The following is a 25,141-nucleotide window of genomic DNA, read 5'->3' as shown; positions in this document are numbered from 1 at the left end:
CGGGTTTTAAAGTGAGGAAAGGGAAGAGACCTGAGATAATTTATATGGCCTTCTACCGGGGCTTGTTTTTCATTTTATATTTTTATTATTTATTATTATTTTTTTGGAGAAGGAGTTTTGCTCTTGTCACCCAGGCTGGAGTGTAATGGCATTATCTCAGCTCACTGCAGCCTCCGCCTCCCGGGTTCAAGCAATTCTCCTGCCTCAGCCTCCTGAGTAGCTGGAATTACAGGCGTCCGCCATCATGCCCAGCTAATTTTTTGTATTTTTAGAAGAGATGAGGTTTCACCATGTTGGCCAGGCTGTTCTTGAACTCCTGACCTCAGGTGACCCACCCGCCTCGCCCTCCCAAAGTACTGGAATCACAGGCATGAGCCACTGTGCCCGGCCTCATTTTTAATTTTTTTAACATTCATCCAGTGCTGCTTTGTGGCAAGTTCTTTTTAACGCATGATCCCATTTACTTTTCACAACCGCTCCATTTTACAGACAAGAATAACTGCAGTTGCCAGAGTTAGCAAATATTGCATGCAACATTCTTATACTAAAAAACTATTTATTGTTTATCTGAAATTCAGATTTTTGTTTGTTTGTTTGTTTTAGGCAGAATCTCGTTCTGTCACCCAGGCGGGAGTGCAGTGTCGTGATCTCGGCTCACTGCAATCTCCACCTCCTGGATCAGGTTATTCTCCTGCCTCAGCCTCCTGAGTAGCTGGGATTACAGGCGCCCGCCACCACGCCCAGCTAATTTTTGCGTTTTTAGTAGAGACGGGGTTTTGCCCTGTTGCCCAGACTGGTCTCGAACTCCTGTCCTCAGGTGATCCACCCACCTCAGCCTCCCAAAGTGCTGGTATTACAGGCGTGAGTACCGCGCCTGGCCTGAAATTCAAATTTAACTAAACATCCTGTATTTGATCTGGCCTCCCTATTAATGACACAATCAAGGTCACACAACCAGTAAGTGGAAAAGCCATCATTACACCCAGGACTTAAAGCCCTTCGTTAAAAATATTACCATAAGCACAGGCAGGCTGTGAAGAAGTCACTAGCTTAGAGGGCAGAATGAGAATGCAGGGTCTACCGTGCAGCAGCTGTGACTGGGGTGGGCAGGGCATCCAGCTTTTCCAAGCTTTGGCATGCGTCACCCATGAAGTGGGATGATCAGCTCCCTCTCCCATATCTCACTGATTAAAAATAATAATAAATCTCGACCAGGTGTGGTGGCTCACACCTGTAATTCCAGCACTTTGGGAGGCCGAGGCGGGCGGATCATCTTAGGTCGGGAGTTCGAGACCAGCCTGACCAATATGGTGAAACCCCGTCTCTACTAAAAATACAAAATTAGCTGGGCGTGGTGGCGCATGCCTGTAATCCCAGCTACTCGGAAGGCTGAGGCAGGAGAATCGCTTAAATCTGGGAGGCGGAGGCTGTGGTGAGCTGAGATTGCGCCATTGCATTCCAGCCTGGGCAAAATCAGAGTGAAACTCCATCTCAAATAATAATAATAATAATAATAATAATAATAATAAACCTCTCTAGCTCTCTGAAGGATGACAGCGTATGAGAGAAAATGTCTGGGGGCCTATGGAGATTTTGCTGAGGAAGTCTCTAGTTATTGAGAAATGGCTCCTATTCTCCAAAAACATCAGGAAAAACTTTTTCTGAGAGAATTCTTCCTCTTTCAAGTCCACAGGGCCAACAGCAGCATCTGCCTGGATAACCACACAGATGTGGGCTCAGCCCTTCTTCCTTGGCTGCTGTCAGATTCTAAGTTAGAAACCCCTCGAGTAGGAAGGCTGGAGCTCCCCGGCCCCAAGGTCACCCCCAGGAGTGGTCCAGGGCCAGAGATGAATTGGAAGGCCTCGCTTCCCTCTTCCCCTCCCTCTGACCTCTGTGGTGGAAAGCTAATATGGTTTGACTGTGTCCCCACCCAAAACTCATCTTGAATTGTAGCTTCCATAATTCCCATGTGTTGTGGGAGGGACCTGGTGGGAGATAATTTGAATCGTGATGGCAGTTTCCCCCATACTGTTCTCATGGACGTGAATAAGTCTCACGAGATCTGATGGCTTTCCTTATCAGGGATTTCTCCTTTTGTATCTTTTCATTTTCTCTTGCCGCCGCCATGTGAGAAGTGCCTTTCACCTCCTGCCATAATTCTGAGGCCTCTCCAGCCATGTGGAACTTTAAGTCCAATTAAACCTCTTTCTCTTCCCAGTCTCAAGTATGTCTTTATCAGCAGTGTGAAAATGGACTAATACAGAAGCCTTCAGGCTCCGCCTTGCCCTCTGCAGCTGGGGCCTCAGAGAACCCTGGTGGGTGCAATGAGTCCCTTGGGATTCTGCTTGGCAAAACCACCAGCGTGGTTTTCCTCCATCATAATCAATCCTAAGCTCCTCAGTGTGGCATCCAAGTCCCTTCAAGACCCTGACCCCACATTGCTTCCCAGGGCCACCTACTGCCACCCACCTCCATTCCAGACAGTCTCCCCAGAGGAGCTGGGGAGGGGTGGGGACCCTTTCACCTTCCTGTATTTTTCTGGGAAATAACTTTCCCACCTTCTCCATTCATCAAAGGCCTCTCTGGACCCCAGCATCCAACCCCTGAGTCCCCCTCTCCCAGCCACTTAAACCCCTTCCTCTCTGCTGTGTACCTTTTGTGTGGGCCTTTGATCATTCTGTCCTATGTGTCTGTCCATCTCCCTCTTTTGTTTTATTTTATTTTAATTGAGACAGAGTCTTGCTCTGTCACCCAGGCTGGAGTGCAATGATGTGATCTCTGCTCACTGCAACCTTCGCCTCCTGGGTTCAAGCAATTCTCCTGCCTCAGCCTTCCAAGTAGCTGGGACTACAGGCACCTGCCACCACGCCCGGCTAATTTGTTTCTATTTTTAGTAGAGACAGGGTTTTGCCATGTTGGCCAGACTGGTCTGGAACTCCTGACCTCAGGTGATCCACCTGCCCCCACCTCCCAAATTGCTGGGATTACAGCCGTGAGCCACCACGCCCAGTCCATCTTCCTCTTTAAACTGCGTGCTGCACAAGGTTGGTTTATCCATCTGTGTGTCCACCCAGAAACTAGCATCCAGGGCCTTGTCCACTGTGAGTGCTGAATGGAACCACCCTGCCAAAGCAACACTCTCTCTCTCAGAAGGGCAGATTTAGCTGAAAACACATCTTCAAGTTAGAATGCCTCCCACAATCCTCAACAAAGCTGGTGGGAGGAGGATGCCCCCTTGGACTGTGGTGCAGAGAGGGTTGTATGGGATTGAGGGTCTGGGCTGGGGCAGACACTTTGCAAACATTATCTCAGGACTCCTCCTAGCAACCCCATTGTCATTACAGTATTATTACCCCATTTTACAGATGAGCCACTGAGGCCATGGAATAAATTACTCCAAGACAGGAGCCCAAAAATTAGGAGAGCCCTAGTCTTGCCTGAGGTTCTCTTGCCCAAGACAGCCACCCTCTCCCTCACAAGGCCCTACAAGGTGGATAAGACCAGAGCTGGTCATGGCATCCCCCACTACCACTTATTTTTTTTGGAGACAGAGTCTAGTTTCATCACCCAGGCTGGAGTGCAGTGGCATGATCATGGCTCACTGCAGCCTTGACCTCCTGGGCTCAAGGGATCCTCCTACCTCAGCCTCCCGAGTAGCTGGGACTACAGGCGCATGCCACCATGCCCAGCTAATTTTTTTCTTCTTTTTTCCTCTTATGTATAGAGACAGGGTCTCACTATGTTACCCAGGCTTGTCTCAAACTCCTGGGTTCAAGCGATCCTCCCACCTTAGCTTTCCAAAGTGCACGCATTTTCATTTTTATGATAAGGAAACTAAGGCTTACAGAGGTGACCTCTGTGCCTCCTCCCATAGCCAGTAAGGGGTGGAGTGAAGACTTACCAGCACCTGGCACAAGATACTTGTCCCAAAACATTGGTGACAGAGACTTAGTGAATGTATAACGAATCAGCTGTGACTTCTGTGCTCTGCCAACATTCCACATCTCGGGGGCTTCTGGTTCATGCAGCCCTCATTCCAGAACTCAGTGCCCTCAGAGCCTGTCAGAAACCCAAGGTGCTAAAGGAAACCATGTCTCCTGGGCTGTGCACCCCAAATCCAACATGCATTTCCCTCAAATCCAGAAAGGCTCTGAGCCAGGCCAGAGTTTCAAGTCAGGGGCCATCGAATCCACAGCCCTGTTGAGGGCCTGCTCTGACTGAGGCAGGGCCAGGTGCTGCTGCTAACAACGGTCTCACCCACCTGCTGGGATGGGCAGAGCATGGACTTGCTTCCACTGGGATGCAGGGAAAGCAATTGAGTCTCCGAGGCATTAAATAACTCAAAGCCCTGCTCCTGGTAAGGGGCAGAGCCTGTGTTCTTTCTTCATGCTGCAACACCGTAGGTGACCAAATAAAATTAGGTTTAAACCCAGTGCCGGGGCACGCAGGACAGGATATCATCAAACATTGCCCGTGTTTGTAACAAACAGAAATCTTCCCACAACCATGGCTGTCTCCCTCATCTCCTTCCCTGGGCTGGAGAGCATCACCAAATAGCCATGCGGTCATCCTATGGACACCTGCACACACATGCAAATGATGATTCAGGAGTTCGATTGCCAACTTGTCCATACTAAATTCTCCTGTTCTGTGCCAAGGATATCACACTGAAGTATTTGGATACCTATCATTGGCCCCCCTAAAAACCCCCACATGTAAGCCGTTCCCCATTCTCTCTCCATAACAGTGCATATCAGGAAATGGTGGGCGAGATAGATACATCACTGGCTTTGCAGTCAAGGACGCTTGTTCAAAGAGAACAAGAAACTTGCATACCAGCCCGAGAAGTTAATTGTGCGAGCACTTTTACATCCACCCTTCCCACAAGTACTGCTGCTTATCACACTCCTAGTGCATTCCTCAAGCAACCCTAGAGGAGGTGGGACAGGAAACACTCTCCCAATCTGGAGGTTGGAGAAACAGACTCAACAAGGCAACCTGATTTTCCCAAAGTCCCTCAGCCAGTAAGGAACGCAGGCAGGGCAGGCTCAAGGCCCTGAATTCCTGCTCTTCCAGTCAGAGCTGCAATCCCTTAAATTCACATGGACCAAACCATGGCTTCCAGAGGCCACGGAGCAGCTAGGAGGATGGGCAGGACGTTGCAGAGCTCTCGACAGCCAGACTGTGTCCAATGAGTCCTAATGAGCCCGGTTTAAATAGCACTCCAGAGAGTGTGGAAGGCCCCTACTCAGAAGCACTCCAGCCCCGGAAGAGACATACCTGGAAGTTCTGGTTCTCTAGGGAACCAGAGAGAACACCCTGTACCAAGCGTACACCACTTCCCATCAGCCACTTACTGGCGCACATCAAGTGCTGAGAGCTTGGGCTTTGGAACCAGGCACATCTGATTCACACCCAGCTCCCCTGGCCAGCCGCGGGCCCCTTTCCCATCACCCGAGCTCTCCCTGCTTCGAGTGAGGACTGAAGAAGAGAGCGTGGCGGAGGCCCCAGTACTGGGAAGCGCTCACCCATGAGAACCTTTACAGACTTTCCCATGACATATGCTTAACATGCTCACTGCAGATAAAGTACAAAATAAAGATAAGGGGAAAAAAGCCATAAAAGTCTTACCACCCATAATCTTACCACCCAGCTGCCCACTTAACATATTTGTGAACATCCTGCTAGACGTGTGTGTGTGCGTGCGTGTGCACTCTCTAACAGCACTGTGGTGATCTTAAGTAATCCCTCAAAAGGTGCCTTGGTTTTTTTGCCCTATAATTCTGTCGGTTATGTTCAATTATTCACTATTACAGACAGAGCTATTAGGAGTGAACAATCTTGTAGCTAAAGCTTTGAGCATTTTCTAATTTCATACATTTTTCTTAGAAATAAAACTTCTGTGGCAAATGTGCTTTTGTGACTTTTGATATATATTGCCGTATTTTCTTTTTTAGAGATAAGGTCTCACTCTCTTGCCCAGGCTGGAGTGCAGTGACACAATCATGGCTCACTGCAGCCTCAAATTCCTGGGCTCAATGATCCTCCTGCCTCAGCCTCCCAAGTAGCTGGGACCACAGGCGTGCACCACCATGCCCAGCTAATTTTTAATTTTTGTAGAGATTCGGGGTGGGGGGTCTCGCTATGTTGCCCATGCTGGTCTCAAACTCCTGAGCTCAGAGGATCCACCGACTTTGGCCTCCCAAAGTGCTGGGATCATAGGCGTGAGCCACCATGCCCGGCCCTATATTGCCATATTTACAGTCTTCTTGATTTCATAGCCAAAGCATTGTGTTTTCCTATTATTTTAACATGAATTTTTAATCATTAATGAGGTTAAGTTTCTGTAGGAATGCTTATTGTATGTTTACACTTTTTTTTTTTTGAGATGGACTCTCGCTCTGTCACCCAAGATGGAGGGCAGTGGCGTGATCTTGGCTTACAGCAACCTCCACTTTCTGGGTTCAAGCGATTCTCCTGCCTCAGCCTCCCAACTAGCTGGGATTACAGGAATACGCCACCACACCCGGTTAATTTTTGTATTTTTTTAGTAAAGATGGGGTTTCACCATGTTGGCCAGGCTGGTCTTGAACTCCTGACCTCAGGTAATCTGCCCACCTTGGCCTCCCAAAGTGCTGGGATTACAGGTGTGAGACACCATGCCCGGCCTATATTTACACTTCTTATCTTGGGTCTGTTGTCCATTTTTTTCTGTTGGAATATTTTTCCTGATTTATTTTTTAGTAAGTGTTCTTTTATATTAAGTATACAAGCCCATTAGCTATTATATGTGAGGCAAATATTCTCCTATTTTTATTTTTAGTGGTAACAATAATAATACCTCTCTCTGTCCAAGAAGCTATGCCTGAAACTAGGATTTTACCTACTGTGTTTGGTAAAGGTAGAATTTGAAATAGCTCATGTGGAATCACAAAGCCCAGTGTTGAGACTTATACTAGGAGCCAAAGACTGGCCAGGCTGTGTGTGTGTGTGTGTGTGTGTGTGTGTGTGTGTGTGTGTGTCTGTGTGTTGTGTGTAGTGTGTGTTGTGTTGTGTGTGTGTGTGTGCTTAAGTCACCAGGTCAGATTATCTAGATTTTATTTTATTTTATTTTATTTTAATTTTTTGTAGAGATGAGGTCTCACTGTGTTGCTCAGGCTCGTCTCGAACTCCTGGGCTCAAGTGATCTTCCCGCCTCAGCCTCCCAAACTGCTGCGATTATTGACATGAGACATAGCTCCTGGCTAAGATTACCTAGATTTCAAAAGATAAACACAAGGTAAGACAGAACTCATCCACCAATGCCCACCGGTTGTTAGATCTCATCATGTCTGCCTCACATGTAAGGTTTTTCCGCCAATTATGTTTTCTTTTGAAGTCATAACTTTGCTGATCACACACGGTAGTCCGGATTTCCTAATCTGACATCTAATTTTGCAAACCTTAACTAAAAATATAAAATAAAATCTGTGTTTGACTTAGGAAATCTTTTTTTACTTAGGAAAGCATTTTATTGCATATATTCTTTTTTGATACAACATCTTAGTGAAGTAACCAGGAAATAAACTATTTGTCCTCATTTTATAGATGGGTAAAATGAGGCTCGGGGAATAGAATTATCAATGCAAGGTCATTAAGGGGTGGAGACTACACTCAAACCCTGACATTCTGACTCCAACTCTGAAAGATTCTTCGTGAGCCCACAGTGGTTTGGGGCCCAGGAGCAGAGCCAGAAACACTCGCTGCTTACAACCAGGTGATTGGGCTGCTCAGCGCTGGGGCCTCATTTCTCTGTCTGCATTATCTCTGCAGCATTAGCTAAAGTAAAACACCCACGTGGGCATCAGGGATCAGTGACACTGTGTCACTGCAGTAGGCTTGTCCTGTCCTGGCCAACGCCATCAGTGTGGTAGGGAGTCACCCACTCTTGAGCTAATGGGGCCACATCCCCGAAGTCGGCCTCCGAACGGTCATCCGTGGACACCCATCTCCGCAGCACCTCTCAACAGTGACAGTTCTCATCTCTGTCACAAGTGTCTCTGGATGATTTCCTGTCATTTTCTGCATGAGCGTGTGGGTAAATGCTTCCACTTTCAATCACTTTGAGCTTGTTGACAAGTGGCTTGAATCTTCTTTGTTCATCCATCAAAAAGTTGTCAAACCCTTCCCTGTGCCATGCATTTTGTGGCCTGATGGGGATGGAGAAAAAAAAAAAAAAAGGTGAGAATCCTGGCTCCTCAGGAGCCTTCTGTCTAGCAAAAGACACATATGAGCAGGGTCCCAGGAGAGGAGGGAGCAATCAAGAAAGCTGAGCTTCCCAGCGGTGATGTTGGACTGAGCACTGCAGAATGAATAGGAGCTGGCCAGAGGGAGAAGAGGGAAAGGCTCAAGGGAATGGCCCAGGCAAAAGCATAGTTACAGGAGTGAGGCTTGGTGTGATGGTGGGACGAGCATCCGGCTGGGGGTGAAGCAGGAGCTAGACTGGGGGCTGCAGGTTGTGAAGAGCCCCAGGTGCCAGGCTGGGGAGCTGCTTTTATCCTGTCCTCCCAGTCACTCCTGCATGGGGGGCAGGTCAGATGTGACTTAGCTGCTGACCTCAGGGCACACATAGGACAAGGGAAGGAAAGAGCTGACCACTGGCATCCTCCCATGGTACTGGCATCCAAAATGGATCACTCTGGCTGAGAAATTCCCCTGCTTCTGCAGTCACAGCGGGCGGTGCCAGGGCTCAGGGGTGCTGATGCAGTGGCCCAAACCACCCAACATGGTGGCCGATTCCCATTTTCCCTGGGCCTTCAAGGTATGAGCAGGATGGTGTCTACCTCGCAGGCCGGAAGTCTTCCCCTGTGGGACTAGAAAAGCATCTCTGCTGCCTTGGGGTTGATTTTTTTCCCCTGCTATCTAATCAACTTGCTGCTCCACAACTGATTCAAATTATTTCTCAGCCCTAGGTCAGGCTCTTGCCTCACTTTCAGACCATGGCAGACATTGCTCCACACTCAGGGCTAATCCTAATCTTGCTACCCCACTGTGTGACTGGCTTCCATAATCACAATCGTAATAGCCGTAAGGGTAACACCTGCCTTTCCTGAGGGCTTCCTCTGTGCCAAGCGCCACACTAGAACGGTTCACCGTGCTCGTGGCCACTGTGCTCCCCTGCCTCCCGCTCGTTCTCCCTCCACCCTGGGCTACTGTTACCCAGCAATGGGCTTGCTGCCTGAAGCACACAGAGGCCAATATTATGGCACTGGCTTTTGAGACAAGCAAAAGCTTTATTGTGAGCTGGCTTGCAAGGAGACAGGAGGCAACACCCAAATCTGTCTCCCTGAGCTGGGGTCTGGGGTCGGGATTTATAGGCAGAGAGTAACAGTGAAAGAGAGAGGAAGGTGCAAAGAAGCATGATCTGATAGGTTCATGCAAAGAGGCCGTGACAGGTCCTTGGCTCTTGGCCAGGTGCAGTGGCTCACGCCTGTAATCTCAGCACTTTGGGAGGCTGAGGCGGGCGGATCACTTGAGGTCCGGAGTTTGAAACCAGCCTGGCCAACATGGTGAAACCCAGTCTCTACTAAAAATACAAAAATTATCCAGGCATGCTGGTGGGTGCCTGTAATCCCAGCTACTTGGGAGGCTGAGGCAGGAGGATCGCTTGAACCCAGGAGGCGGAGGCTGAAGTGAGCTAAGCTTGACCCACTGCACTCCAGCACTTCGGCAACAAAGCGAGACTCTGTCTCAAAAAAAAAAAAAAAAGGTTCTCGACTCTTAAGTCTGTGCAGCAACAAAAGAGGGCAGCAACAAAAGAGGGCACGCCGGGCTTCCTCATTCGGTCCCCATTCCTGGATCCTAGTACTTAGTTTCCACCTGTGGTTAACTTTTTCCATTCCAGCCGGCTCTGGGGTCATGAGTCAGGCACACTTAGTTCATCTGGGCATGCTCAGGTTACCTGCCTTGCAACCTGGGGCTGTTTCAACAGAAAAACAACTCATCATTTTGTTACTGATAAAGTTGAGCCAAATTGGACTGGTTCTGCAATTAACCTGCCTTCTACTAATGATGTGGCTTTTGAGGCCCTGTACAATCCAGTGCTTTGTCAACTAAGCCAAAATTCAAATCTGAATCAGTTGAGATATTGGGTTTGGCTGTGTAGGTGTAACAGATGTTCAGAGTACCAGCAATTTAAACAAGATGCAAGACTTTCCCTCCCACATAGAAGTCTAAGAAGGCACGGCGCCTCTGCACTGCAAAGCCAGCAGGGACCCAGCCTCCTTCTGTCTTATTGCTCTGCCACCCCCAAGGTGTCGCCTCCTCACGGAGTCCATGAAGGAGCACTGCCACCACGTCCCTCTGAGGGCATGCAATCCAGGAGTTGCAGGGTTCACTTGCATTCAGATCTTATGGACCAGGCCTAGCAGTGACGCTGCAGCTAGCTGCAAGGGAGCCTGGGAAACGTAGTCTTCATTCCAGGAGACTGGGTAAAATTCCTTCACTGTGGAAGAAACAGCGAACAGATGCTGGGGTTCAGCTAGCAGTCCTTTCACCACTGTTTTTCTGTGTGGGTTGTTTCTGATCTTCCAAAATGCAGACACCCAGATGGCATTGGCCACTTGAGAGATGTGATCAGGGCAAGGCCAGTGAGGAAGAATGCAGCAGGGGTTGGGGGAGGCTGGGAGAGCCATCAGCCCACGATGCGGGCCTGGCCCTGGGTGAAGGAAAGAGGGAAGGAAGGAAGGTTGTGTGCAAGGGTGTCACAGAGCAATGCAGTTCTGAGCTCAGCAAGACAGCCAGGGATCCTCCAGCCAAAGTCTTCCATCACAGCAAGCCTGCATCTCCCACCTTTCCTCCGTGTCTCTGCCAGGCCAAGCCATGGACTAGGAGTAGCCCAGGGGAGGCGTAGCCTCATGGAAATGGGCTTCCAAGGGCAGCAGCAGGGCTGCTGGTCACTGTCGCTCCCACAGTCAGAGTTCTGAGAGGCCTCGCTCACGGCCCCTGCACTGAGTAACCTGGGCCAAGCTGCTTCATTTTTAAGCCTCCTATTTCCTCAACTATAAAGTGGGGGTAGTAATTTCTAACTCACAGTGTGGGCGTTTGAGATCATATCTGTGAGTTTATTTCTATGCCAAGCACACATGAAGCTCTCAAACATTGACTGCTGTTATTATTGTTGTCAATGGTGATGTCATTGTCATTATTGTATATTGAAGGCTCTCAGGCAGTGGACAGGTGTGAGCAGAGCTGTGCATTAGAAACGGTCCCATGGCACTCAACTTGCCTCAGTCTCTTCCCTCGGCCCTCTGGGAGTATCGGTAACTCTCAAAAACAAGTCCCCTCCCTCTTTCTGAAATGACTTGCCAGAAAGGGCCCAGGCAGCAAGATGTATAAAACAGAACTGGAAATGGAAAACTCAAGGCCAGGGGAGGGGGCAGGAGGAGCCACACAGGGTCTCTCAGCTTCAGCAGGCACCAGGCACCGTGGCTCCGTGCGTCCCAGCAGCATCCCAGCCTCCCAGGGGCTGCCTCCTGCCTCAGGCCCTGTGGGAGGGTCACAGGTTTGTGGGAAGTGGTTTCTCTTTCCAAAACTGCTGACTAATAAGGGGCATTAAAAGAAGCGTGGGCCAGGCGCTGTGGCTCACTCCTGTAATCCCAGAACTTTGGGAGGCCAAGGCAGGCGAATCACTTGAGGCCAGGAGTTCGAGACCAGCCTGGCCAACATGGTGAAACCCTGTCTCGACTAAAAACACAAAAATTAGCTGGGCATGGTAGCGCATGCCTGTAGTCCCAGCTACTCGGGAGGCTGAGGCAGCAGAATCACTTGAACCCAGGAAGCAGATGTTGCAGTGAGCCGAGATTGCACCACTGCACTCCAGCCTGGGTGACAGAGCAAGACTCCGTCTCAAATGGTTTTTAATGTCCTTTTTGCCTAAGGAAAAAACATCAAATACTGCAACCATAGAGCAAGACTTTTGTCTCTTGTACGCACTAATTTACTCGTTAAACATTTATTAGTGCCCACTGGATGTCAGGCATGGGGAAAACAGAAAATGCGACACAGCCTCCACTTTGCAAGCTTTGGCCGGGCATGACTCAAGCCCACAGGGGAGCCTCAGCCTGGGTGGTTTCACAGCCAACTCCCATGGAGCCCCTCCACAAGGGCCCTTCAGGGTCTGTCATCCAACCATGTGTTGGTCCTTCCATCACTAGGCCCTCCTGGTCCTGTTCCTTCTCTGTGAGTGAGATGGGCAGCCGTTATTGCAGAGTCTGAGCTTTAAAAGGGTCACTGTGTCTATGATGGGAATAGTCTGGAAGGCAGAGGGGAGGGCAGAGTTAGGAGGTGGTGATCCCAGGGAGGAAGCTAGAGGGAGCAGCATGGAGGTGGAGATGAGGTTGAATCCTAGACACATGCTGAAGGTACAGCCAACAGGGTTACACATCTGTCTTCGAGCTCCCCAGGCCTGCAGACAAAGGCTCGTTCCTGCCACAGAAGGCAGCACTGACGGGGGTGGGGGCACTGCCACGTCCTGAGCCTGCAGCCTCCCCATCATGACACCCCATCATGACAGCCCTCCGGGTGGCCAGAGTGACCCCTTTCATTTGGACTTTGATTTATTGCCCCCTGGAGATAACATCTTCTGCTTAAAAAGGAGATTAATTGGAAATGCTCGTGTTTAGAGTACAAATCTTTTTTTTTTTTTGAGACAGAATCTTGCTCCGTTGCCCAGGCTGGAGTGCAGTGGTGTGATCTCAGCTCACTGCAACCTCCGCCTCCCGGGTTCAAGCAATTCTCCTGTCTCAGCCTCCCAAGTAACTGGGACTACAGGCGCCTGCCACCACACCTGGCTAATTTTGTATTTTAGTAGAGACGGGGGTTTCACCTTGTTGGTCAGGCTGGTCTTGAACTCCTGACCTCAGGAGATCCACCCGCCTCGGCCTCCGAAAGTGCTGGGATTACAGGCATGAGCCACTGTGCCTGGCCGAGTGCAAATCATTTTATTTAAAGACATTCCAGATGAAAGCCAGTGCAGACAACAGTGGTGTTCTTGCCTCAGCTGAGCAGCCTCTGTTCTTTGCAAACAGAGCTGGTTCGGATTTCTCTGGATGTGTTTGGTTTTGCCCGTGCTGACACTTCACCCCTGTGAATCCTGCAGGGCTGCTCCTGAGCCAGCCACCTCCATTTACACAACAGTTCCATGGAAAACCTGAGAGGCGACTGCAAATACACACGCACACACACACACACAAGGTGCAGAATGTTTTCCCTGACTGATCATTAGCTTATTTCTGTGCGTGTGTACACTGTGTTAGAAAAAGCATTTGACTTGATATAACAGCATCTGCTTTTGAATTTTGTCTTTACCATGACCTTTAATGTCTCTGGCGAGACATTAAATTCTCAGAGCCTCAGTTTTTGCAGTTGTCTAGTGGGGCTAGGTGGGCTGCTGTATGCATTAAACTGGAAGAGATCATGCTTGTGAGGCCTGGCCCAGATGGCAGTGAGTGAATGCCTGGTATGTTTATCCTCCTTTGGGAAATTGATCAGCTATTCTTCTTTTGGTTTGGGAATACATTTTGGAAAATGTTGGCCTAAATGTAAAAGTCATTCCTCCATCATGCATGCATTCAGGACAGGAAGCACTGATCCATCACCTACTGAGTGATTGGTCACAACCTTGGAAGGTCATGACCAACATGACCTTTCCATGTTGAGGAAACAAGAAAGGCACTGTCTTACCTTTTGGGGCTTCAAGGTGTAGTGGGGGCAGAAGACGAATGACCAGCCTTTGCCCAGCCCCCTCAGTTAGCCTCACACTGCTCCAGTGCAACAGTCCTGAAATGCAAAGCTCACCCACCAGCTTGGCTTACACTCTGCATGGCTCCCTAGGACCTCACAGTCAAGCCTTTGCTGACCTCAAGCCGTCGGGGCTCTGGCCCCCACTGGCCCTCCAGACCCAAATCCTCCTTGCCCTTCACCCTCCTGCAGAACCTCGCCTCTAGAACACACCCTCTGTGTCCTTGCGTGTAAATCCCCTTGAACTGCCTGTGGGCCTCTGACCACCCAGCTTGGATTCCTCCTCCCTTCCTGCACAATCTCACCCTTTCCTACGTGTCCCTTAGACCCATCACAGGCCCTGATGTTTGTTAGGGACATGTCTCTTGCTGGGGACCCCTTGAGGGCAGGGCCTATGTTTTATTCATTTTGATTCCCCAGGGCAAAGCCCAGGGCCTGGCACAGGTGCTCAATCAATTCATTTGAATTGTACATTTGCTTTAAGAAACCGCCTTCTTACTTTATTTTATTTTGTTTTATTTATTTTTCTGAGACAGAGTCTCACTCTGTCGGCCAGGCTGGAGTGCAGTGGTGCAATCTTGGCTCACTGCAAACTCCACCTCCCAGGTTCAAGTGATTCTCCTGCCTCAGCCTCCTGAGTAACTGGGATTACAGGTGCCCACCACCACACCCAGCTAATTTTTGTATTTTTAGTAGAGACGAGGTCTCGATCTCTAGACCTTGTGATCTGCCCACCTCGGCCTCCCGAATTGCTGGGATTACAGGCGTGAGCCACCGCACCCGGCCAATATAAATTTTTTTTAAAGCGATTCTTACCTGGGGATAGTACTGCCCTTACCTTAGGAGGCATTTGGAGCTATGTGAGGGCATTTAATTTTTTAGTTTTGGTGTCATAGTGACCGGGGGTGTTACTGATATTTAGTACCCATGCTAAATATTTCGAAATGGGTAAGATGCACAATTTTAAAATTATCCCACTCAAAATGCCAAATAGCACCTGTATTAGTCTGTTCTCACACTGCTAATAAAGACATACCCGAGACTGGGTAATTTATTAAGGAAAGAGATTTAATGGACTCACAGTTCCACATGGCTGGGGAGGCCTCACACTCATGGCAGAAGGCAAAGGAGAAGCAAAGGCATGCTTTACATTGCGGCAGGCAAGACGCATGTGCAGAGGAACTGCTCTTTATAAAACCACCAGATCTTGTGAGATCTATTCACTATCACGAGAACAGCACAGGAAAGACTCGCCCCCCTGATTCAATCACTTTCCATTGGGTATTTCCCACGACATATGGGAATTATGTGAGCTACAATTCCAGATGAGATTTGGGTGGGGACACAGCTAAACCATATCAGCACCCCACCGAGTTAGCCTGTTGGCCTGACCATCATCCCCGTTTGACATCTGGTGAAGCTGAGGCTGGTGAACTCATTCGGCTAAAAAGTGGAGGAAGTAAACTGTTGCTCTCTGCATCCCATGGCTATGGGGTGTCCTCATGGAAAGAGGCTCTAGATGTAAGGACGTGGAAAAAGCGGTTTTCTCCCTTGCTTTATCCCTACCTGCTGCCCCCATCAGAAGAGCCAGGCTCTGTCCTATGCCACAGAAGGTTGCATTACAGCCTCGCTCCTCCCTGACCTTTGTTTCCTTAACAGCCTGAATGAGCTGGGGAGCCCATGTGCTATGTCTTCTGGAGCGGAGGGGAGGGGGCTTCAGGCGCCTAGGGAGCAGGTGAAGAGCCAATCAGGCCATATGACTGGCAGGTCCTCAACCTGCCTGATGACAATGATGCTGAGGAGGGGAGGCTGGGCTCAGGGTCCAGGGTCTCTGGTCATCAATCACCCCCAGGCCCCAGGCTACAGGCTCAGAAGCAGCAAGTTCTCCTCAGGGCCTGAGGTTGGAGCTGGGGCAGTGGGTGTCTTAGCAGGAACCAGCTTGGATTTTGCACATTACAGGGGGTATAGGGAAGGGAAGAACCAAGGAATAACTGATACTACAAGTCCCCCAAATGGCAGGATGTAGGGGGCAGGAATTTGATTTTTTTTTTTTTTTTTTTTGGTTTTTGAGACGGAGTCTCGCTCTGTTGCCCAGGCTGGAGTGCATTGGTGTGATCTCGGCTCACTGCAAGCTCCGCCTCCCGGGTTCACGCCATTCTCCTGCCTCAGCCTCCTGAGTAGCTGGGACTCCAGGCGCCCACCACTACGCCTGGCTTTTTTTTGTATTTTTAGTAGAGACAGGGTTTCACAGTGTTAGCCAGGACAGTCTCGATCTCCTGACCTCGTGATCCACCTGCCTTGGCCTCCCAAAGTGCTGGGATTACAGGCGTGAACCCCTGCACCCAGCCGGGAATGGGATTTAATTTGATTTAGGAATATACATAGCCATGTACCCTAGAGAGTCACACATGAGCCTGCTACTGGACAGACAGGGAGCACGGGCAGGGAGTAGGGGGCCTTGCCCAGGCCACAGCCAGAGAAAGCTGGGGTCTCATCTCCCTCCCCACTTTCCAGCCACCATCCCCCACAACAGCAAGGCAGGCCCACATTTCTGAGGTCTGATTTTGTCGAAGCCTCAGATATTCTCTAGAAATGTCAACAAATGCCCCTGGAAAACCACCCTCCCTCTCCTGTCTCCAGGAACCCAGGGCTTACCAAGAGGAAGTTACATGCGCTCACTCATTGACCTCACCTACTCCAGCAGGGGGTGGAGATTAAGACCAGAGAAGTTCCTCAGCTTGCCCAAGCCTCCAAAGGTCAAAGGCTAGCAGTGAGTCAGACTCAGATCCAGGCTTCTGGGCTCCCAGGTCTGGCCCCTCTGCTGCCCCAGCCTCCACTGCTGGGCAGCTGAGGTCTCCCAGAGTCCAGGGTGAGCAGAGCCAAGTGGGAGGGTTTCAAGCTCTCTAGCTGTCAATTGCCATTTGTACTTCCCCACCTGATCACCGCACTCTAGATAGGTAAACTGCATCCCTGCATCCCTAGAGGGTGACAGTAACTGCCAAAATAGGGAGCAGTGGGGTGGCGGGGGATGCTCAGGGACCATGACACATGGGTGGTGACCATCAACCACCAAATATCCCCTGGAACAAGTTGTAAGAACTCAGTGCCAAGAGACATCAGTGGGTGGCACTGAGGAACCAGAGGTGATGAGCTCACCCCAGGCAGTACCTCCCACCCAGATGAGCAAAGCCACACTGTAAAAGTGGCGAGTGCATCCGAGGGTTTCTCAAGCTGACTAGGACACAAGGGAAACCAGCCAAAACCCCCAAGCCGGGCGTGGTAGGTGTTGGCAGCCCGGAGGTGGGGAGTGGTGGTGGCAGGATGCCTCGTTTCCCAGGCAACACAGTGGAAACTGTCCCACAAACACCAACCAGGGGGGTGGGGGGGCACAGAAGGGTGGGCAGGGCTGACATCTGAGACGGGAATCTGCTTAGCTACTGCCAGAGGCCTGCCTCCTCTGAGTGCCTGGGGCCCTGGCCCCACCTCCGGGGATGCTCTCTGTTGGCTGGGTTCTGCACGTATTTATTCTTTCACTCAGTAAATGTTTACTGAGCCCCAGTGTAGACTGTAGTGGGAGAGCATGGGCTCTAAAGTCAGAAAGACTGGGGTCTGGATCTCAGCTGTGATGCTTCCAGTTATGTGCCCTTGCAGGCTACATCGCCGCTCTGAGCCTCAATGTTCTCATCTGAAGAATGGGAATTATTCTACCACATTCAAAGGTTGCCATAAGTATGAAATAGGAGAGTAGATGGCAGATAGTCAGTATTCAGTGGATGCAGCTATTATTGCCTGGCTCCATGCCAGACACAAGTTAGGTCAACTGGGGTGGGTGACTAGGGGAAGGCAGACATGGAAATGTATTAGATGCACTCCTGCCCTTGGGAAGCTCTCCTAGCCTATCGGGTGGAGGAGCCTGACTAGAGTCCTAAATTAGGTGAGTAGAACATCTGGAGAGCCATGGTAGAGATGAGCAAAGTGCTGGGGAGCACCTAGGAGAACCCCAACTGGGGGGTTGGGAAAGGTGTTGAAAAAGCATTTCGGTTAAACTTCATCAGACAAGAAATGAGTAGGAAAGGCATTCCAGGCAGAGAGAACAATGTGTACAAAGGCAGGAAGGCAAAACCTCAGCATGGGTTGGAAGGACAGCAAGTAGATCAACTGAGATAAAGCCTAGGGTAAATGATTTTGATAGTGCCACAGGGACTTGGGGAAAGACAGGAGAGAGAAGATGGCCAAAAATAGGCAGGGATTAGATGATAAAGGACCATTTGACTGAACACTTTGATAACTTTTTAACAGAGGAGTTACACAGGATTGAATTTAGAAAGACCACTCTCTTAAACCAGAAGTGTATTGATCGTGCATATATAGACCTACAGAGCAGTAAAACAGAATCGAGTTCAGGAAAATACGCATGCATATATAGGAACTGGATTTATGACAGAATGGCGTCATACATCAGAGAGGAAAGGACATACTATTCAATAAATGGTATTGAAGCAATTAGTTATCTATATGAAATAATGTATAATTATATCCCTCCCTCACACCATATCCAAAAATAAATTCAAGACCTAAATGTGACAAAAATACTGTAAAATAATTAGAAGAAAATTTAAATCAAGCATAGACTTGTAGTTTCACTACAAGGCTTTTTCTCTGACCTGAGCTGTCTTCTATTTTGGGGGAATCACTACATCCATTGAAGACAATATTTATGACATTGGCATAGACAAAATATACTTAAATCAGACACCAGAAGCAAAAATTATAGGCTAAAAAAATTATCAAATTTGACCACATCAGAATTTAAAACTTCATATAAATAGCTAATTGCTTCAATACCATTTATCAAATAGTATGTCCTTTCCTCTCTGATGTATGATGCCATTCTATCGTAAACTCAGTTCCCATATATGCACAGGTCTTTTCTCTGTTTTATTGCTCTGTGGATCTATATATGCTCTATCAATACACTTCTGGTTTAAGAGAGAGGTCTTTCAAAATTCAACCCTGTGTAACTCCCCTGTTCAAAAGTCACCGATAAAAGACACCATAGACAAAATTAAAACATAAGTATTGATTGGAGGAAAATATATGCAAAACATGATAGACAAAGGATTGGTATCAAGGATGTTTAAAGAACTCCCATAAAATAACAAGGAACAGACAAATGGGCAAAATATATGACTAGGTAATTTACAGTAGAAGAAACCCAAATGGGTTTACTCAACAGAATTAGGAATCAGAAACAGGCAAATTACAACAAGATACCACGGTCACCCATCAGATTAGCAAAACAAAGTCTAACAACATCAAGTGTTGGAAAGGTTGAGGGAAATGGGTCTTCCCATATACAATGGATGGGAGTGTAAATTGACACCATCATTTTGGAGGGCAATTCAGCAGTATCTAGGGAAACTGCAAGTGTAACCCAGCAAGGCTCCTTCTAGGTGTTTAGATAAATGCTTGTACCTGAGTACACAAGGCAACAGGTATGAGGGGGTGATCACAGTGTTGTCTGTAATAGGGAAGAACTGGAAACCATGTACATAACCATCAATAGGAGAAGGCATAAATAAATTGTGAAATGGTCCTGCAGAGGGATTCCAGACAGTAGTTCGGGGGATAGACTAGGGTTATGCGAGCACAAATAAGAGTAGATCTCAAGATGTAACAAAGAATGGATGCGCATGAAACACACTAATCTCACAGCACCAGTCTGTCACATAGGTAGTAATGAAGAGAAAGGAATAAACTGGAAATGGAAGCTGGGAGTTGACAAACAGAGGAGGTGATGTGAACTAGCACAGTGGAATCAGTTCCCTCAGTGGAAACTAGAGTCTCAGGATTCCAGACTGGGAAGGAGCCTCTGAGGGTCCATGATCCAAAACTCTCCTTTTCCAGACTCCCTATTTCCCACTCATCCTCATAGATGCCCAGGCTTTTTCTCTGACCTGAGCTGTCTTCTATTTTGGGGGAATCACTACACATATTGAAGACAAGAGGACTGACCCTCGAAGAAACCAAGATGGCAGCAAAGGTAGTTCCCAGTCTAGGCAGCGAGTTGTAGTAATCAAGGACATATTGAGGCCCTACCATTAGCCCAGCATTGAGATTTTAGATTGAGTTATAAAGATGGGCAAGGTAGATAAGATGTAAAACAGAACAGAGATTGCCAAGCATGAGGAAGCACAAGGGAAGTGCAAGTTTCAGCAGGTCTGGAGAGGAACCCAGGAATCTGTGTTTTTAAAACACACTTAAAGTTATTCTGTTCTAAGTAGTCCACAAACCTTATTTTAGAAAAAATGTCATAGCATACTGGCGCTGAGAGGAACTTAGAGAATGTCCAATCCGATGTCCTAATTACAAGTGAGAAAACGGAGAACTAGAGAACTGACTTGTCAAAGAAAGCTAAAAAGCTACCTTAGTGGAATACGAAGAGGAACACTGATATTAAACCCTATCCTACCTCAAGTATAGACCCAGAAGGCACTTCACCTACATTGTCTCAATTCTCCCAACAATTGAGGCTCAGAAAAGTTAAGTAAGTTGTCCAAGATCTCTTAGCCAGACAGCAGTGGGGCCAAACTCATACCTAGCTTCATCAGACTCCAAAGGCTAAAAAGTCTTTCCAAAGGAAGCACAAAGGCAAGAAATTGACTTATTTTCATAAGGTTTCACCAAAAGAGAAGTGCTAGAGTTTCCATTTCCTCTCCTAGTCTTTTTACTTTTTCATGTTGGAGGGGTGGGTAGAAGAAGGTTTGGAGTTGTTCTCACTCTTCGGTGAACCTTTCCAATCGCCCGTGTTCCAGCAGGGTTCAGCCCAACCTCAGGCCAAAGCCCACAGAACCATCTGGAAAAGTGCAGGTCTGGAAACCTCCTCAGTCAGCCTTTTTTAAAAAAACTTAAGACCTGATGAGTCACTGTGGAACCAGTCACAGATAGGCATGTGCCTTCTTCAGATGCCTTGGTCCGTGGCTGTAGGGAACGTTCTCTGCAGAAGTGTAGATCAGAAGTCCCCCCAGGTGGGCCCATGATGATGCATACAGCTCGAGAACACACGGTTCTGCCCCGGGCCACTCAGTGTGTCACTCGGGATGCTGAACAATGTGAGATCCTGGCTCCAAGGTAGTTATGTTCCCCAAACATACTGTTCGTTATCTCCTCACTTCTGTGCACACCTTTGAACACCTTCTGCTGCAGATGTCCTTTCTCCTCCAGTTGGTGAACGCCTGCCCCTCCCCTATGGTCCATATAGAATAGCTCCTTGTATAGTCACGTGACCATACTGACGTATGCTTGGGGCAACTGGTGAAAATAAGCTTTAGCTAAATAACTTTGATGAAGATCTAGACAAACAGAGCAGGACAGACAGAACCGGGTCAGTCCAAGGATAGGACTCCTGGATGAGTAAACCATTACTCTATCAACCCTCTTCAGGGACATCGCAAAAAGAACAGTGTCTTGCACTGACTAAGCAGCCTGGGACAAGTCTCTTTCCCTCTCTGAACCCCCGAATCCCCTCTTTAAAATGGGGACACTGGGGCCGGGCGCAGTGGCTCATGCCTGTTGTAATCCCAGCACTTTGGGAGGCCAAGGTGGGTGGATCACCTGAGGTCAGGAGTTCGAGACCGGCCTGGCCAACATGGTGAAACCCCTTCTCTACTAAAAATACAGAAATTAGCTAGGCGTGGTGGCGGGTGATACCAGCTACTTGGGAGGCTGAGACAGTAGAATCGCTTGAACCTGGGAGGCAGAGGTTGCGATGAGCCAAGATTGTGCCACTGCACTCCAGCCTGGGCAACAAGAGTGAAATTCCATCCCAATAAATAAATAAATAAATAAATAAATAAATAAATAAAAATTGGGATACTGGATGTTTCTTACAGGTCCCCCAGCTCTGACAACTTTATGGCTTCATGACTCTGGGTCCCCTTTCTCTTCTCCTGAGGGTCATCTGGTGCCCTGGAGAGTGTATGTCCCCACCTGTTGATGCCGGCACTGGCCTCTGCCCTCACTGGCCTCAGCCTAAGGTGGGGCTCACTCTGCTTGGTTTTCTAGTTTCTCCTCTTGGTGTCCCCTCCCTCGGTCTTCTGGAACACTCAGCTGTGGAACGCTCGGCAAGCAGGGATCTCTCAGGCCCTTATCTTGCTGTTCCTACCATGCCACCCTGTCTCCCTGCCATCCTGCTCCATGACAGCACAGAGGCCCTGCACAGCCCTCTCCTCCCAGAGTCCCAGACAGCGTGCAGAGCACCTGCTCAACCTACCTGGGGTCTGTGCTGCTCCCACCCTCACCCTCGCCAGCCTTCTGACCCTTCTCTCAGGGACTCACAATAGCAACCCACTTACTTCCTTTTCAGACTCTCTCTAAACTCTTTCCCCCAGCCTGAAAAGGCGCTCACCATCTCTCTGTGATGGAAAAACCACTGGGTGGTTCGTGGCGTGAACTCTGTGCTCTGAGGCCTTTGGACTTTGTTCATAATATTGAAACCAGGCTGCTGGGGAAGGTGGCAGACAGAACATCTCATTTCACTCCCTCCCAAAAGTCCACCAGAATGATAGTAAACAGATTCACACACACACACACATATGCACAGACATACATCCAACCACACACATGCACACACATACGTGCACACACACAAATAACAGGAGAGCAGACCACGATGTTTGCAAGCAGATGGAAGAATGGTAACAGACTTAGCAGGCCCCAGAAAGCAAAATCTCCAACCCACACTAGAGAAAATTGAGAACCAACTAGATGCACACCTTGGAATTCTCAAGAAATCAACAGTATCAAGAACCTCTGGCACTCAAGTAAACGGGTTACTAAAATAAGGAGGATTGACTCAAAGGATCCAGAAAAGTAGTTGAGTCCCAAGGTCCCCTCTTCACTCATGAGCACCTGCCCTTTCCCTCCCCAGGAGAAGATTGGAGGTCTCTTCTCAGGAGAAGAGTAAAAGTGGTTCTTGGGATTGGGGGATGCAGGCACAGTTGAGGACATACACTCTCACCACAGATGGCAGGTTTAAGCGAATACATGAATGCTGAATGCTCAGACCACTGCCCCCATAGCAGACCTGAGGTCTGAAGCTGGGTCTTTGCCTCGGTGAAGAGACTGGAAATGTCTTCTCTAGAGAACTGAGCCACGGAGTGCACCTTTCCTCATTAGGCATTCAGACACACACCAGACCTCATCTCTGGGACATTTCAGAATACTGTGGACAAACAGAAGATCCTGCAAGCTTCCAGAGACGGGAACAGGTCACTTTCCAAAAGCTAGGAAGTAGAATGGGCTTCATTTCTTTTTCTTTTCCTGTTTTTTGAAACAGAGTCTCGCTCTGTCATCCAGGCTGGAGTACAGAGGTGCGATCTCAGCTCCCTGCAACCTCCACCTCCCGGGTTCAAGTGATTCTCATGCCTCAGCTTCCCAGAGTAGCTGGGATTATAGGTGTGCATCACCACGCCCAGCTAATTTTTGTATTTTTAGTAGAGATGGGGTATCGCCATGTTGCCCAGACTGGTCTTGAACTCCTCACCTCAAGTGATCCACCAGCCCTGACCTCCCAAACTACTGGGATTACAGGCTACCACACCCAGCCCAGAATGGGCTTGATATCCTATAGCAACCCTGGAAACTAAAAGATAGGAGAGCAATGACTTTGGAATTCAAGGGATACTGGTTTATGATCTAGAATGCTACAAATAGCTAACCTATTCATCAGGGAGAGGTTAGAACAGGACACGTTCAGACACACAAGGACCCAAAAGGCTTACCTGCAATGACTCCGTTCTCGGGAAACCTCTAGAGAATGCCCCCCTTTAAAAGGAGGGGTAACCCAAGAAAGAGTCACTGGGCACAGAAAACAAGCACCCCCGCATGGAAAGGCAGCTGAGGGTGGTCCCTAGATGAGGCACAGGCAGATGCTGGGATGACAGGTGCGCTCTGGACACAGGGCGCAGGTAGGAAAGTGCCTGGAGAGACTGACCATTTCAGGAAGATGAACCTAGCAGTGCCTGGTACATTGGAATGTCTCGAGAGGACCTTGAGACAACTGGTGAAAAGTTTGGAGTTGAATTGGTGATAAGCACACAGAAAATTAAACCATAAAAAGACAATTATTAACTTCAAGGATAACAAAAATTTGAGTAGAGAAGGAAAACTAGTCATGATATTTACTATATTTTTTAACTGATCTAAAGTATTTCCATGGCTTAATGACATATGGTGGCTATGAATCTAACCAAAATTATATCATAATTCCATAGGGATGAAAGAGTGTAGGAAGGTGTATAGCAGATGCACCTGACAGCAATAACTCAAGCACACCCTGAGAGTGACCCTGTGTGTGTTCTGCATTCTGAGCTAAGGAATCTTGGAGTGGCCAACCTGAAAATTCCCTCCTTATCTATAAATGGCATCTGAACCCCTGGTCCGTTCCTTTGAACACAGGTTGTACAAGGAATCGAGAAGCCCTTTGTTTTGGGTTAAATGAAGGTTGCTAGGTGGAGGTTGCTAAGTGAAAATGCTACATAAACTGCACGCTTTTTACAAACAGTAGCAGTTCTCCTGTCCAGCTGCCACTCCTGAACTGTCCTGTAGGTAAGCCCTCAATAAACCCTACGTTTCGTTCACTGGATCCGGGTCTCTTCTTTGGCCTCCTGGACACGGTGTGGTACCATCCCTTAGAGACAACAGGGGTTCGGCCTGACTGAAGGATTCACATGTGTAGGGGTAGCAGAGGGTGGAAAATGAGCTTAATTTCCACCTTCCAGAATGAGAAGTCAGTGATGGGGTCCACACTGAAAAATTAAAAAGTGATTATGCAGCCGGGCGGGTGGCTCATATCCCAACACTTTGGGAGGTGGAGGTGGGTGGGTCACCTGAGGTCAGGAGTTTGAGACCAGCCTGGCCAACATGGTGAAACCCCATCTCTACTAAAAATACAAAAAAAATTAGCCAGGCGTGGTGGTGGGCGCCTGTAATCCCAGCTACTTGAACGTTGAGGCAGGAGAATCGTTTGAATCCAGGAGGCAGAGGTTGCAGTGAGCCAAGATCGCGCCATTAAACTCCAGCCTGGGTGACAAGAGCGAGACTCCGTCTAAAAAAAAAAAAAAAAAAGTAATTATGCAAGCCTGTCTTCTAGAGATAGACAGGCATCCCGATAATCAGCTAAAAACACTTTGGGAGGCCGAGGTGGACGGATCTCTTGAGCTCAGGAGTTCAAGACCAGCCTGGGCAACATGGCAAGACGACCATCTCTACTAAAAATACAAAAATAAATTCGCTGGGAGTGGTCGCGCATGCCAGTGGTCCCGGCTACTTGGGGGACTGAGGCAGGAGGGTCGCTTGAGTC

General features: G+C 48.6%; 1 long non-coding RNA gene across 5 annotated transcripts in view; it reads right to left on the bottom strand.

Moving 5' to 3' along the window:
- Nucleotides 1-7,093: 7,093 nt before the first annotated feature.
- LOC105373418 (uncharacterized) overlaps nt 7,094-25,141 on the bottom strand; it is a 74,555-nt gene continuing 56,507 nt past the window's right edge. For 4 of the 5 annotated variants that reach the window (NR_187864.1, NR_187862.1, NR_187866.1 and 1 more), the window contains one exon: nt 7,094-8,189. This is a non-coding gene — a long non-coding RNA (uncharacterized LOC105373418). The remainder of the gene's footprint in view (nt 8,190-25,141) is intronic. The other variant, NR_187865.1, reaches the window with a different exon arrangement.

Source organism: Homo sapiens, chromosome 2 (genome assembly GCF_000001405.40).
Source record: "Homo sapiens chromosome 2, GRCh38.p14 Primary Assembly".
Taxonomy (NCBI): domain Eukaryota; kingdom Metazoa; phylum Chordata; class Mammalia; order Primates; family Hominidae; genus Homo; species Homo sapiens.
Note: the sequence above shows the minus strand (reverse complement) of the source record. Positions and strands in the feature narration are given on the sequence as shown.